The following is a 17,234-nucleotide window of genomic DNA, read 5'->3' as shown; positions in this document are numbered from 1 at the left end:
GACTGAACACAGTTATTTTATATATTTTGCCTATTATTCTAGTTGCTTGTGGAAGGAATCCTTGCCTCTTAAAATTTACTCAACCATGGCCCTACATAGAGTGTTTGATTGCCTAAGGCATTGCATCTGTTTGCCTGATGCTCTGCCTTCTATTGGTATGCGTGCTTCCTAGTGTGAAAATAAATCTATTAATTAAAAAAGGGTCAATCTGGTTTTCAGATCATGATTTCCATAAATTCAATATAAGCTTATCTTTATCCATTGTATGCCTTCTATTAACATATTTTTCAATTATTTTTGCTCTATCATCTTTCTATCCACAAGGATTTCAGAAGGCATAGAAACTTTCTGTTATGAAAACAGAAGAAGCAGAAACACTTGTAATAACTTTCTTTCTTCTTCCCTAGGCCTGTGTGGGTTTTCTTGAAATAATCTTTGGAACTCCCTGTTAGTGCACATTATTGTTCCATACCCCTTTCTTTGGTTTATTGAATGCTTACATTACGTTTGAAGCTAGATAAGAGATCAAGTCAGCTGATTAACTTTGCCGAGCGGTGGGCACAGAGGTAGCTTTTCTGAACTAACCATAGAATGCTTAGAGTTGAAGGATGAATATAAAAAGTGCTAAAAATAGATTTTTTTTGTTAAAAAAAGCATGAATAAAATATTCTCCACAAATGAGGAACAGCTAGTACACAATGGTGCATGGCACATAGATAACATTTAAGTAATACTTTTTTAATGGTATAGGAAAAAATAATGAATCTGAATCTGGTACAGAGAGCTAATTGTAGTTTAGCTACTCAGTGAAGAAAATACAAGAAGCAGAGGCTTAGATGGTTAAATAAGCGATAGTCTAACTCCAGAGATGAGGAGTCAATACTCATAGTAATAATAATAATAATAGTAGTTCACACGTACTTAGTGCTTAAGTTAGAAGTAGCACAGAGTTAAGTGCTTTAAAATTTTTCAAATATTGTATGTTAAGTGTTTCACTTAGTGAAACCTAGTTTTGATACACATATCTTTATTTGATTTGTTAATTCCTTTGGGGTCACTAACATTAGCATCATTCTCATATTACAAATAAAATAACTATCCAAAGAAAGTTGAAGTTTCAGTAATTCACGTAAGGTCACCTACAATTTGTAAGAGATGCAACTGAGGATTCAGTTGAGCCAAGCCACACAAAAGTCCATGTTTCTAACCACTGTGCTCTACAGAATTCTATGTAGTTAGGGCTTTTTTATAAGCTCCCCATCTGTCTTTGTGGGTGACCAAAGCCCATTTAAAGGCCATGAGAGGGATGGTCTGGACACTCTGGTTGCCTCTTTTCATCACGCAGTTTACAGCTCTCCCTTGTCCCCCTCCTTTCCTCCCTCGATCCATATCTCATCAGCTAGTCTGGGACAACTGTCTCATGTTACTTTACTTGGCTTCTGCTATTGTATCAGCTCCTTTACACATAGATTGTATTTTAAAAGGGTAGATTCTGACAGAACCCTAGGAACCAATAAAAAATTAAACATGTAGCTAACACAGTATGCATAAAATTCAGCCTAAAAAAACACACAAAAACTCAACAAAATGCAAAGGAATGATTAGGGCACATCCAGTGTGCATGATCTCCACCATAAACAAATGGACAACTTATATAAATTCCATATTTAAAGGAAAATTAAACAATGATTGGAAACATTAATCCACAGCTATCTAAAAAATCCCTGTGATTTTTTATTTATGAACTTTCAATTAAACACAGCATAACTACAGCTTCAGAAGTAAAAATCCTCTTAAGCAGATGTCAAATGATTTTAATAAGATACTTCTGTAATTCATCTCTTTGCCATTATCAAAAGCACACTGGTAGTCTTTCTTTCTCAGGAATTAGATGTCCTGCATTTATCATAGATCAGTATGAATTCATATATTATTTTATAATACCTAGTTTTAGAATTATTGAATTATTACTTATTCATCTAGTTCCCTACTGGTGGATATTCAGCTCACTTACAGTCTTTTGCTCCTGCTTATAGTGCTTCATATGAGAAACTTCATATGCATATATTCTCCAGTATATTTGCCAGTTTGCCTTTGGTGTACATACTCAGAATTCGGGTTCCTTAAATTGTGATTCAGATGAAATTTTGCTGGATAGCACGAAATTCTCTTCTACACAGTTAACATTTTGTATGCGAGTTGCTGTTGTGCTCTAGCACAGATTATGTTGTCAAGCATCTGAATGTTAGCCAATTTGATATGAAAGAAATATCTCAGTGTAGTTTTTCCCCTTAAATTTTATCAAAGTTTAATATACATACAGAAAAATTCACAAAACACAAGTGTCTGACTCAATGATTTTTCATAAAATGACTATGGATGTATAATCAGCTTACAGTTAAGAATTAGACATTGCCAGCCCTTCAGAAGCCCTACTCAGGAATTTTATCCGCCCGAAAGTAACCATTATGTTAACGTCTAAAACCCTCAGTTTGATTTGCCTATTTTTACACAATTACCTGAATCAAATTGTACAGTAAATGCTCTTTTATTTACAGTTTCTTTTCTTGAGGGGGTTAAATGTTGTTTTTATGAGATTTACTTTTGTTGCAACATGTAATAATAGTTTGTTCTCATTTCTGTATAGCATTCCAACATATGAAAGAATCGTCATTTATTTATCCTATTTTTGTAGCATTATAATGTATCTGATTTTTGCCTGTTATAGATTGCTGCTATGAACAATCGTATATAATGTTTTCTTCTGAACATATGCATATATCTGCACAATTTTTATAAACATTTGGCATTACATTTTAAATTACCAGGCATCCCAAGATACAGGATCATATGACTGAAAACTAAGAATAAAATGAGACTACAAACAAATTCACAGATGATACAGGTATTATAGTTAATAGAAAATAATTTTAAAAAGCTATGAATACAAATAGTGGAAAGATGGATAAAATATTTAAAATGGAGAAATTTACCATGTAATTGAAATATATAAACAAATACAGTTTTGGAAATAAAAAAGAACTCAACTAATGTGTTTATCATGCTACTAGACAACACAAAAGAATTTATTATTGAAGGAGAATATAGATCAATCAAATATGTCCAGAATAGAGCACAGAAACCAAAAGAGTAAAGAGAATGTATTTTACTGACGTTAGTTACAGAAAAGCATGACTACCATTAACACCTACATTCAACATTACACTTCAGTTCTAGCCAAAATACTAAAAAAAGAATGAAATAAGAAATTTAAAGACTAGGGAAAAAAACCTCATCGTATTTCAGATAACATAATTGAGTACATAGAAAATTCAAAGTAAGCAAAAGGTAAACTCGGGTTTATCAATGAATTTAGAAAACTTGCTGGACATGATATCAACATTAAGTACTTTTCATGCACTAGCAACAAATACAAATGACAAAATATCACAATAATATTGGAAAACATTAAATACTTAGAAAGAAATGTTATTAAATGTATATGGGTCTTCTGTCTTGAAAACTATATAACAGAGATTACATAAGTAACAAATAAATGGAGACAAATAACATCTTTAATAATTAGAAAACTTAAAATTGTAGATATAAAAGATTTTCTCATGCTGATCTATATAATTTAATGTAGTCAATCCCACCCAAATAGCCCAGCAAACATTTTCTACAGGAATTTATAAGCTAATTTAAAAATGCATGGGAATTCACAGGGTTCAGAATAGCCAAGAAAATCTTGAAGACACAGAAACTTACCATATCACATATATTAAATAATTTATTGTGATAAAAGCCCCCCAAAATAACATAAAATTTACCATCTTAATAATTTAAGTGTGCAGTTTAATAGTGTTATGCATACTCACATTGTTATGAAACAGATCTTTAGAACTTTTTCATCTTGCAAATCTGAAACTCTATACCCATTAAATAACAACTCATTTTTCCCCCCTTTCCTTAACTCCTGGTAACTACCATTCTATTTTTTGTTTTTCTAAATTTAACTACTTTAGAAAACTTACATAAGTGGACTCATACAGTATGGGTATTTTTGTGACTGGACTGGGTTATTTCAATTAGCACAATGTCCTAAAGGTTCAGCCATGTTTTAGCATATAACTAAATTTCCTTCCTTACTAAGGGAGAATATTGTTCTTTTGTGTGTATACACTGCATTTTGCTTATCCATTCTTCCATCAAAGAATATTTGTGTTGTGTCTGCCTCTTGGCTATTGTGAATAGTGCTGATATCAACATGAGTGTGCAAACACCTCTAAAAAGAAGAGTGCTTTAAGGTCATGTCCATGGCCTCAGTAAAGGTATAGAACATGATCCCTGTCCTATACCTACATTTAACTTTATAAATTTAAATATATAAATTTATAAATAAATTTTCCACTTTATTATTGAGGTAGAATACAGATCAATAAAAAACGTGGGGTGCAAACACCTTACTTTGAAATATTTTGGATATATACGCAGAAGTGGGATTGGTAGATTATATGATAGGTCTATTTTTAATTTTTAGGAAAACCTCCATATAGTTTTCCATAGTAGCTGCACCATTTTCCCATCAGCAGTGCACAAGGGTTCCAATTTCTCTACATCTCCACTGACACTTGTTACTTTCCATTTTTTGATAGTAGCCATCCTAATGGTGAGAGGTGATATCACATAGTTTTAAAAGTGGTGGTATAAGAAAGTGTGACCCTGGCTCAAAGAAAGACAAGTAGGTCAATGGTTTCTTAATAAAGAGTTCTGGAAAACATTGATCAATATAGAAATATTAGCTTTAGAACAAAGGTAATATTGTGACGTAGTAGAAAAAGTGTTCTCTTGTATGTGGGTTCGATTAAGTACACATAAGGAAAAAAAATGAATCATGACCCCTGTCGTGTGCCAAATATATAAGAGTCACCAATCCCAGATAGATTGCAGATTTAAACACAAAACTTTTAGAAAACCTAAAAGAATAAATATCTTCATGATATTGGTTTGGCAAAAATTTCATAAATAGAATTTATAAAGCAGTAGCTATAAAAAATTAATAATTTGTTTTAATTCTAAATTAGAAACTTATTTATCAAGAGAAAATATTAAGATAACTAAGATACAAGACCTAACATGAAAATATTTGCATAAATGTATAAATGTAATAAAAATAAAAGAACAGAGTAGAGACTTGACAAATGACTGTAACTTCACCATTATTTGTTATTGGAAAAAATACAAATTATAACTACACTATAATATTACTAATATATGCTCAAAAATAGATACAATAAAAAAAGATGAACAATAGCAACAATAGTGCAGATGTGGCACAATTGGTCTCTTGTAGACAGCTGGTGGGGTTTATACAGATATAACCACTTTGGGATTCTAAATTTACAGTGCTTATCACCCTGAAATTCAAGCCTAACTTTAGAAGCAATATAAATGTATTTAGCGGATCACGGGGTCAGGGGATCGAGACCAACCTGGCTAACACGGTGAAACCCAGTCTCTACTAAAAATACAAAAAATTAGCCGGGCATGATGGCGGGTTCCTGTAGTCCCAGCTACTAGGGAAGCTGAGGCAGGAGAATGGCGTGAACCCGGGAGGCGGAGCTTGTAGTGAGCCGAGATCGCGCCACTGCACTCCAGCCTGGGCGACAGAGCGAGACAGAGCGAGAATCCGTCTCAAAAAAAAAAAAAAAAAAAAAAAAAAAATATATATATATATATATATATTTAGAAGACCAATTATATAAAATTTCATGTAAAAATATAGACAAGATTGTTCATAGAAGAAATATATAAGATAGGCAAAAAGGGAAACACTCAAATACCAATAAATAAAATAATTAAATTAGTTGTTATATATTCATAAAATGTACAGTGGTTATTATCAATGCATAACTTCAACCTCCAATAAAATGAACAAGCCTCAACAAAAAATAATATTAAGGGAAAGGATCCAAGAACATTTACATAAAATTCAAAAAGAGGTAAAGCATGTCTATGGTTATAAGTCAAGACAGGGGCTATTTAGAGAGGAGGTTGTAACCTGGACAGGGAGTGGAAAAAGTGGACTTCTGAAGCACTAATATTCTCTCTCTAGATCTTGGGAACTTTTACATGGTTGTGTTCACTTTGTGAAAATCGATAAAGCAGTTCACTTTTAATCTATATACTATTTCTATATCTAATCACTATTTCTATATCAGTGATACTTCAAAACAACTTTATAAAAACTAGAGAAAAAAAAAACAAGAAAAATTAGAAAAATGATGGAACCCAGGATAGAAGCATGTACAAGGGCAGTCCTACAAAACTGGGCATATAGACAACATAATAGAAGGAAAACCCAGGCTATAGGGGGAAAATGCCCACTAGAATTCTTATAATTCATTAACGGTATATTTCATATTTAACTCAGATCTCTATGATGATAAGGCCTCTTTTCACTTTAAAACATTAATTTTCTCCTACCATAAAATAAGGTCTTTTTATCGTTTACTTTTTTGGGTACATTGTAGGTGTATATATTTATGGAGTACGTGAGATATTTTGATAGAGGCATCTAATGTGTAATTATAACATCACGGTAAAAGGAGTAGCTATCACCTGAAACATTTATCCTTTCTTTGTGTTACAAACAATCCAATTATACTCTTGTAGTTATTTTTAAATGTACAATAAATTACTGTTGACTGAAATCACCGTGTTGTACTTCAAATACCAGATCTTACTCATTCTTTCTAACTACACTTCTGTACCCATTATCCATCCCCGCATCCCCGCATCCCCGCATCCCCGCATCCCCGCATCCCCGCAGCCAGTGCCTTTTCCAGCGTCTGGTAACCATCCTCCTACTCTATATCTGCATGAGTTCAACCGTTTTAAAATTTTAGGCCCCCAAAATAAGTGAAACATGTGCAGTTTGTCTTTCAGTACCTGGCTTATTTCACTCAACATAACGACCTCCAGTTCTATCCATGTTGTTTTAAATGATAGGATCTTATTTTTTTTAAATGGCTGATTAGCGCTCCATTGTGTACATGTACCACATTTTCTTTATCCGCTTATCTGTTGATGGACATATTTTACTTTTTAAATGTTCTTCTATCAGATTCTGAATGGATGATTCTATGAAGAAAATTTGTCCTGAAAGCCCAAATTTTGCCAACTTATAAAGATATGTTTCAGCATTTTAAAAGTCCACATATAATTTTCAGTCTTTATTGCTATTAGGAAATTGTGATCATTAGAAATAAAAATTCTGGATACTTTGATAGGGAATCAAAACAGTGGGTGCATGACAAATAGAAATACAACAATATTTATTTAAAAATTTTTATTCATATATCTGAAGTTTTTTAGTTAAAAATATAAAATATATTTCATAAAGACTACTACTTTGAAATATGTTGTCACATTATGTTAAGCGTCATATAGTGATGATACTATCACTCAGGCTGTATTTCACATCACAAATTTAATACAATACAAATTTAGGAATTTAATTAATTTATTTATTTAAGACAGAGTCTTGCTCTGTCACCAAGTCTGGAGTGCAGTGGCATGATTTCAGCTCACTGCAACGTCCACCTTCCAGGCTCAAGCGATTCTCGTGTCTCAGCCTCTTAAGTAGGTGGGATTACAGGCGTGTGCCACCAGGCCTAGCTAACATTTGTATTTTCAGTAGAGATGGGGTTTCACCATGTTGGCCAGGCTGGTCTTGAACTCCTGGCCTCTAGTGATTCGCCCCACCCGGCCTCCCAAAATTCTGTGATTACACCGCACCTGGCCCAAATTTAGGAATTTCATATTAGTTTTTTTTAAAATAACATACATTACTAAGCTTTATACAAATTATGAACACCTTTCATAAAAGCAAAGTTATTCTATTTCTTAATAAAATAAATATTTTAATAGAAGAATCAGAAGAAAATATTTTTTCAACTCACTGAGAATAACCAACCTTTCCAGTGAGCCAACGGGAATTGTAGGGATTAAGGTGGATCTAAATCATTTGCTCTTCATAACTGAAGAGAAACCATACCGTAGAAGAGGCAAACTAGTGAGAAAACACATTTTTAACAATTGCCCAAGGCACAAAATCTATAAACTTGCATTCCAAGTCGCCTCCCATATGCAGATAATTCCAATTTCTGACACATAAGAAAATTATTTCTTGAATAAGTAAGTGAGTGAATGAGTGAATAAATGAAAAGTTCAAATCAGTCAAACTAGGATATAGAAATCACCACATAAGAGTGGCTGGCACTTCCAAATATCAACTTGACCTTTCTCCTACTCATACTGTTTTCAAATACCCTGGGGGCCAGTGGTTTTTAACGAATTAAGATGCCCCTGTTTGGGCAGTTTTAAGATTTTCAACTTTTTCCAAGGTAGTCTTTAGTCCTTTTTCTAATTATAACCAATCACGAGTGCAGTGTATATATTTTCCTGATGTATCATTTGATTATTTCTCTCATAAGCCACATTTTGTGTTTATATTCTCTTATGCACATATTTTATAATTTAAATTAAAGGTTTCAAGTGCAGTTTATGATTTAAATTAAAGGTTTCAAGCATTTATGCTCACATGGGTCTTTAATTTCCAAGAGTCTGCTTCCACTTTCATATCAGTGAGCTGCAAAATACAAGGAAAATGTGAACCAGAATCTAAGCAGAAACCCTATGTAAAAGTGAAGAAGCAAGCAGGAAACAAGATGTCAATCAGCCCTTATTGATTACTGCTCTGGTTGTTTCAGGCGATGTGCAGCAAGTTGTGTAGAGCTAATAATTCAGTGAGAGAGATAAGGTTTAAATGAAGGAAAGAACTGCAAAATCATGCAATGTATTTAAGAATATAGAAATCAATAACATACGTAAGTGTTCTTGTTCTCATAGTCTAGTGGAGAAATCAGACACGTAAACCAATATATCCAGTACCGTTTGCAAAATTCTATGATAAAATATAGACAAAAAGTTATTAGGACGCTGAGGAAAGAATGACTGACTTTTAATTGGATAATTCATTCACACAGCACTTTAGCATACTTTAATTGTCATAATTACTGCTAAAGCTGTCTTGGGAAAGGTCACCAAGCTCTTCTGTGGGTTTTCCCTCTCAAATGTAGGCTTGTGACTTTATAACAGGATATTCTTCTTCCTTCCTTGGTGAGGCAACTTCATTGGTGAGACCCATCTGGCATCTACCACCCTTTCTCTTGCTCTGCTCCAGGGGAGGAGGTATAGCTTATTCTAATTGGCATTTTTAGAGAGATTAAAGTGGGCATGCTGGTTTCAACTCCCCATTTTGCTCCAGGAAGTGCTTATAGGGAGCAGCTTTCTGTTTCTCCATTTGCTGTACCTGAGGAGGAGGAAGTCTTACTGACCCTGGAACTGTGTGTGCACATCTGCTTAGCTTGGGATGTCAGTCGGCTAGCCCATTTTTCTCTACAGTAACCATATTCTACATTCTCCCATTTAGACTTCCTCAGGAATAAAGACCTTATTATATTTGATGGCTATCTTATAATTAAATTTTTAAAAATTTAAATACAATCTCATAAGAAAAAAGCAGTGTCTTTATTGGATACTTCAACACTCAATAAAGCCACCTATAGGAATAATTGGACTTGCAAAAGAGCCACCTGAACAGTCACATGAACAGGAATGTTCTGCCTCACACCCTCTAGCACAGACAGCAGTGTGCCAGAAAGCCCAATTGTATGACCAGAGACAGAAATATAGGAAGGGAGAATGGGACAGAAATATAGGAAGGGGGAATGGCTCTCTGCTACTTCCCAAGGTGGTGGTCTTCTCTTGAGCTCAAATATCACACAAATTATGTATCCGACATATTGGTCTAGGACAGGGAGCCACACATTTTCTGTTAGACAGCATATTAGTGTTCTAGGGCTGCCATGACTAATAGCCACAAACCGAGTGACTTAATAGGAAATTATTTATTCACAGTTTTTAAGGCCAGATATTTGAAATCAAGGTTTTGGCAGTACTGGTTCCATGTGGAGGCTCTGTGGAAGAATCCATGCTGTGCCTCTTTCCCAGCCTCTGGTGACTTCTGCAATCCTTGGTGGTTTTTAGTTCATGATTGCCCTCCAGTCTCTGCCTCCATGTTCTCATGGCCTCTTCCTCTGTTTCTCTGGGTCTCAAATCTCCTTCTTCCTTCTCCTACAAGGATACCAAAGAGTTAAAATCTAACTTGAAACCAGTGTGGCCTTGACATCCTTAACTTAATTACATTTGCAGAGACCCTATTTCCCAATAAGATCGAATTCACAGTTATAGCAAGTTAGGAATTCAATATTTCTTTTGGTAGAAGGGGCACACAATTCAACCCAGTATGAATAGTTATACCTGTTATCAACTCATTGCCCTATGCATGTCTTTCTGAAATATATGTGTTTTCTGCATGTTTGTTTTTTCTTCCAGAATCTTTTGAAATAGATTGCTAATAGTGTAGGAAAGTTTTCTTATGTGATAGAGTTCAAATTAGGAAATTTGGATTTAATCTCATTTCACATTTGTATATATGATGACATACTTTAATAAAAATATTGCTGACTTTAGTATTGGCCATGTAACTGGGGAGATTAATAATATTTTGCATAATAAGTAAGTATGATTATGATTATTAAAGCATGTGACAGTACCTGATACATAGTACACACATTACATATTATGTGGGTGCGTTAATATGCAAATGTCCGAATCAATGAGCAATAGAGTGAATGAATAAAATAATGAGTAATGGGGAGAAAACCAAAGAGAGATCAACCAGTGACAGAGTTTATGTTAGTAATCCAGGATGAGGTGATGAGAGTGAGATAGGAGTGAAGGGAATGCAGTCGGACAGCTTCAATTTTCAAAATGTGTCATACAGAAACTAAGCTCATTTCATGAGTGTTGTGAGTGGCACAACATCAGACATAACCAGGTTCATGCACATTCGTGTCTTTCCACAAGGTCAGACTTTTAGTGATGCTATCTCAATCATAAAAGCCATGAGCTACATGGAATTCCCAAGGAAGCAATTTTCCTTAGTACCACCATTTCACTCAGTAGTCAGAGCTGTGGACACATAGTCTCAAGTCACTCCGCAAGACAGTCAAAGTTGCAAACCATATGTAGTAGTATACTTAATCAATGTATAAATGTCATAGATTAAGCATTCCACATCAAAGTAACATTTAAAGTCAAGAGAGAATAAAATAGGAAAAGGGATTAATGAACTAGTCCAAGAAGAGTAATGTGGACAAGGATAGTGTCATGGCTTGATCTGAGTGGGAGTCAATGGCTTCCAAGAAGAGTTTTTGATTTGGGCAGAACCTTTGACTGACAGATGGTGATCAGAAGTGACAGCCAGATTGGAGTGTATCAAATCAGCCATCATGAGCTGGTGAAGTCCTGCTCTTTTTATGGCCACAGAGTCCTCTGGCGAGGGCTGATGTCCAGTTATGTTTTTCTGTGGTTGGGTACAGCCTCTATGGATTAGGCGAACCTCTGGTTCTTGTTGGTATGATGCCTTTTGAAATGTAAGATGGACTCTTTTTTCTAAAATGAAATTACTTACGTCAAGGGTGCTCTATACAATGGGGAAAAAATAGGAAATAGATCAACTATGCCTTCAAGGTAAATCTAGAACAGGTAGATATTCTAAGACTGTTAACTTGTTGCTTGGAAATAAAACTATTGAGGGACAGTGATAAGCACATTTTTTTGACAGGGAGGTAACTGTGGGTAACCCTGGTAAATATTTTCTTTAAACCTTGAACATGCAGAATTATAGCATGAATGAGAATTTCAAACGAGCTTCGTGGGTTTGGCTTACCATTCACTGTCTATGAGTTGTATATGACGAAATTAGTATATACAGGCATTGGAGTTTAAAAGGATTATTATGTCATGTTATGTTACGTTATACTCATTATTTTTTATGTACTTAGGGGTAGAATGGAGGTGGTAACTCTCTTTTTATTCTCTGCTTTGGGCAACTAAAGGGCTGCAAGGGCATGGAAGGCACTGGTGGCCTGAGGTGTTGTAACCCCAGACCAGTAGGCACAGGCTTCGGGAGAATGAGCTCTTGGCTGTTTCAGTTCACACTGTTTCTAGTCAGTAAAGCTGATAGAAGACAAAGCATACACACATACTAGAATTTTCACCAACATAGATGACCAGAGTTAGTGGAAGAAAAAATAGATCATCAGTCACAGAATACCTTGAATAGCAATCTTGAGTTAACCCTTTCATCCATGACTCATTTTTTCCTTTATTCCTTGTTTGTGGCACAGACGACTTAAAATTCCTGCCTATATCTGCCATCAATGTGCTAGCCTCTAGTCCATGGGCGGTGACTTCCTTCTAATTATAGTTTATTTCCTGTGCATGGCTTATTTCCTTATTGGACTATTCGTTGCATGTTATGTGGAAAATGCCAGTTTACTCCCAGTGAAACTTGTGTCCAATTTGTTCTACATTAATTGTGCTCCCCTCAAGTTTGTAGTACAAAAACTGAAAAAAAAAAAAAAAACTACAGCAACCACCACTACTTTCTGTTTTTCTTCCCCATATTGTCTTGTTTATTTATGTCTTCATCTGGTTTAATGTCCTCTAAGTTGTATTTTTTTATTACTGTCCTTGAATGTCCCCCTCTCACTACTGCCCATCGATACTTTCTCATTAAATAAGAAATGCTTGATGAGTTACTACATTTAACAGGTAAAATATAGCACACACAGTTACATTTGAATTTTAGATTAAAAATGGGCAATTTTCTCTTCTTACATTTTATTGATAATCGCTGTGGCTTTGGAATGAAGGTGGCAGTATGAGTATACAGATCTGTTTTGTCCAGCAATCTTTGGTCACATTTGCTTGTTTTAAATTTCAGTAATTGTCGCTATGTGTTGAATGGGGAAGTGATGTGAGATGTGACTTTCCAAAGTAACAGTGAATGGAAGTCCAATCTGATTAAGATTTTGTTTAACGGAGTTTCCAGTCACATAAACAAAACCCCACAGACTGCAAGGCACCCATGTCCCTTCAGCTCCAGCTCCTTGACAATGCCTGGCACCTGCACAGCATTCTGGCTTGACTTGCACAGCAGCATACTTCGTTCTCTTCAGGATATGCTTGTAGCTCATCACATATTTCTTTTGTTTGCCATGTTCACCCAGTAGTAAATGAGACTCAATGCCATTCCAAAGAATGGGGAAAGGGGAAGCTCCCCGTTTTGTGCTTATAAAATAGAGAGGCACTGAATAAAGTCCAAAAATGTCAGTTCTTTAACAAAAGGTGCCAGGCAGGGTATATCCAGGCTCTGAGACACCTGATACTTACATAATTTGAAGCCATTTTGAGTAAATGCACACAAAATTATGAATACAATTTAGAAGAGAGAATGAATTTTCTCAAATGCCTGCTTTTTGTTGGCATTAGAGAAACCTAGCTCATTTATATTTCTTAGGGCCTCTCCATCAAGTATGTGGGTACTTTATGACTCATTAACTTTTCTTCCTCTTCTTACTTCCTAGTTTTTTCTTAGTATGATTAATTGATTGATTGCCTAATTCATCAAAAACTTTCTGACGTTCTCTGTCAGAAAGAATGTGCTAGGCACTGTGTTGCATATATTTATAGAACATTTATTAAGTACATACTATGTGTCAAAGTCTGCTGTGTTTTGTAGGTGTCATTTTGTGAAACCCTCACCATAACCCTGAAGGAGTTTATACTGTCATCTCCACTTTGCAGGAGAGAAAACTGAGGCAAGAAGTTGAAATATTCGGCCAAGATAACATAGTAAATGGCACAGTTGGGATCACAGCCCGAGCAGTCTTCATCCAGACTCTGAGTATAATCCCAGGACACAGTCTCTGGCTGGCTGACCCCCATGCTGCGAAGAGGCAACGTCCCTTACCTCCAGGGAGCTGACAGTTTTCTGAGCTCAGAGTTGTACACATGACAACTAAATCAGCAGATGCCATGGCAGAGAAAAACACGGTACTCTGGGAGGGGTGAGGGATTGGGTCTGTTACTCCCACCTGAATTAAGCGAGATTTCAGAATCGAAAATAAAGCCTATCAGTCCTCTTTGGTAGTTATACCGCAAAACAACCCCCTCATCACTTACTTCTGGCTCGGGTTGCGTTTCTGAGCCAGGGCATCAGGGGCCGCCCCGGGACTGCGCCCTTCCTAGAACAACGGTGGGGCCTTGGGGCCGGGCAGGCTCCACCTCAGCCGTGGGGGCGCACTTTCCTCACCCAGCGGGTACTGAGGACACCAGCCGGGAAGGGCAGTGCCTCCCGCGGCCCAGACATGTGCTTAACAGTGAGAACAACAGCGAACACGTGGGATTTGCACATTGAGCAGAGGTTTTCACCAGAAAATGCAGCAGGTGAATCTACTACCAAAATGCCAAATTAAAAACTTGTTAGAGTAGAAATACAGGTTTGATATGAATTCCTTTTTCATAGAATCTCCTTGCCTGAGGCTGGCCGGACTAACCACCGGAGAATATAGTTTAAAAAACCTCTTGCAGATGGAGAGGGCGGTTCCTGGGTGCCAGCCACGCAGGTCGGTCCTCAGGGCTGCTAACTGCTCATTTATATTTCTAGTTCATTTATATTTCTTAGGGCCTCTCCATCAAGTATCAAGTAAGCTCAGCTCCGCGTCCCTAGGGCATTTTGGTCCTGTCCCCCAGGCCCTGGTTTCTCTAAGCCCACACCTCTCCGGAAGGGGCTGGAGGAGTGGCATGAGGAGCTAGCTGCCAGTCATTTCTCTTACTCACCCACTCCCAGAGTTTCCCTGGACTTAGACAGGCGTTGAGCTACACAGAAACTCACTGCTGTGGCCATTTCTGAGATCGGCTTGTTCCCCGTGTCGGGCGGCGACCAGCATTCGGCTGGGGAGTGCTGTGGCCTCAGCGGTACAGAGCCCTGCACCTCCCCAACTGTGGCTCTGGTCCTGTTTGCCGGCCTCTAAAGTGGGCAGGGAACCTCAATCCCTCAGTTGTGTTTTGTGGCTGCAGTGGAAGCACAGACAGGAGCACTAGCATTGCGCCTGCCCCCCGTGGGAAACGTGCTGCCGTCGCTGCTGCTATTACAACTACTGCTCATGTCAACACTGCTACTGCCCCTAGCAATAAACACAAAAAGCGACTGGCACACAGCCAGTGCTCTGAGGGCATGTGCCTTTTGTTGTTGTTGTTGTTGTTATATAAAGATACTAACAGCAAGTTTCTTAAACTCAGAATTTTGGGAATAGTTTTAACCCATATCCAATTTATGACAAAATTATATGAAATTGGGAAAATGCACAAGTAGGCTACAAATATTGTATTTCTTTAAAAATTATGTATTGCATTGACTCAAAATAATTACAGGATTTGAAAGTCTGAAGATTTTGGAAAAGGAGAGCCCCTAGGAAAACTGGCAGAGTTTGAGAGTTAGGAGAATGACATATGATCAGACTATAATTGCTGTAGCATCAGATCCCATGGGATATCATAGGTGATATTTTTTTTTATCTTTATCATAATAAGCAGTTAAGACCATTGAACTTTCTCATTGGAGACTGAGATGACATCTTTAGTGTATGTAGAGAAAGGAATTAAGGGTGAATAAAGCTAATATATGAGACTTTTGGAGGCTCTTAGATTGTTCCAGGAGAGGAGAGAGATCACAATAGCTTTGACCAAGATACTGATAGATGGATGGAAAAAAAGGAAGAGATTTGTTAGAAATAATATACCAGAACCTAATGATAGATTATAATTGAAAGATGAGATAGAGAGTGGTGTCAAAACTAGTTCTAGCTTTCTGAATTGCATAAAATGATGGATGGTGGTGACATTAATCAAGATAGAACACATTGGAAGTTTTTTTTTTTTCTTTTCAGGGAAAAGGTCATAAGTTTGATCATGAATCTAGATCATGAAGAGCCATCTAGCCTGGCAATATATCTTGATAAGTCTGCTGTGTAAATGTTGTAGTTAAAATCATGAGCATAGATGAGAAGTTCCAGGGAGAGAGAATATAAAGGAAAACTGTGAAAAACCAGTGGCAATTAGAATATTTCCTAACTCAATTTATCAGAGAAACCTAGTTTACCAAAAGAAATAGGTACAGTCTATCATTAGGAATGACTAAAGTATTCATTATAAGAAATTAGAAAAACGACGAACATAAGGCGAGTAATTCTTTTTTGACTCCTCTCCCCTTGAGTTCCAAAATTCTTGCCTGTTTTCAAATAATCCAAATAGTCCTATCATGTGTAGAAGGTGCCGCTTATGGTTTCTGTGAGTTTCAAAACCACTCTGACAACAGGTGCAGAGAGGCTTCAGAATTTCCACCCTCTTCATGACATGGAACTTCTGGGCTCAACACCTGGGGCTTACTGGAGCTGTTGGTATGGGGGAACTGAAAATTGGTACAGAGACATGGAGAATATTCTCTATCTCATTCTTTCTCTTCTTTCCTCCTATTGTAGCACACAGTTCTATTCCTCTCTTTGGAAGATTGTTAAAAGTGTTGAGGTAAGCAATTAGAAAAGTGGAGAGGGTAAAAGCTTGACTCCATCTTTCCCCTCTTGCTCCCCTTGCATCTTCTCTTGCAGAGGGAGCTGCCAGATGACAGAACAGAAGCTCCAGAGTCACCATGCATGGCCCATCAAGGTTGGAAATTGATGATACTCTAGAGATTAAACTTCTTTTATGTGGGTACTAAGTAAGTACAGCTGATGCAGGTGGCACAGAGGAGTAGAAAGCCTAGAGTCTAATTGCCTGAATTTGATAAACAAGATAAAAATTGTGACAGCATTTAGATGAGGTCATGAATCTACCACAAACCAACAAAGAAGCATCAGTGGATGTGAAAACAGCATGAAATATCTCAGGTGTCCAGAACCCTACATGAAACAGTGAACTCAAGAAATAAGTAGTGGATAAATGAAAGAATTAGTGAATGAACAATGGAAGATGCACCTCATTTCAGTTAATAGGAAAATTAATTGGATTGGGGGAGGAAAAACATGAAAAATAAAAGACTAGTTTCAACTCTTTCTTTCATATTGTCTATATTTCCCCAGAAATCTAAATTCTATTCCTAGCCATTAGAAAAATAGAACAATCTGTCATTGGTATACAGACATACAAAGCTTAATAATGACATCGTTTTCAAACATCATAAAGCCCTGACAAGTATTGAG

The 17,234-nt window shown here is 36.5% G+C and overlaps 1 long non-coding RNA gene across 1 annotated transcript in view; it reads right to left on the bottom strand.

The window, feature by feature from the left end:
* Positions 1 to 9,955: 9,955 nt before the first annotated feature.
* The window catches only part of LOC124901804 (uncharacterized), a 60,358-nt gene continuing 53,079 nt past the window's right edge, over positions 9,956 to 17,234 (bottom strand). Inside the window, exon 2 of the long non-coding RNA XR_007060628.1 lies at positions 9,956 to 10,200. This is a non-coding gene — a long non-coding RNA (uncharacterized LOC124901804). The remainder of the gene's footprint in view (positions 10,201 to 17,234) is intronic.

The sequence above is a fragment of the Homo sapiens genome, chromosome 7 (genome assembly GCF_000001405.40).
Source record: "Homo sapiens chromosome 7, GRCh38.p14 Primary Assembly".
Classification (NCBI taxonomy): Eukaryota; Metazoa; Chordata; class Mammalia; order Primates; family Hominidae; genus Homo; species Homo sapiens.
Note: the sequence above shows the minus strand (reverse complement) of the source record. Positions and strands in the feature narration are given on the sequence as shown.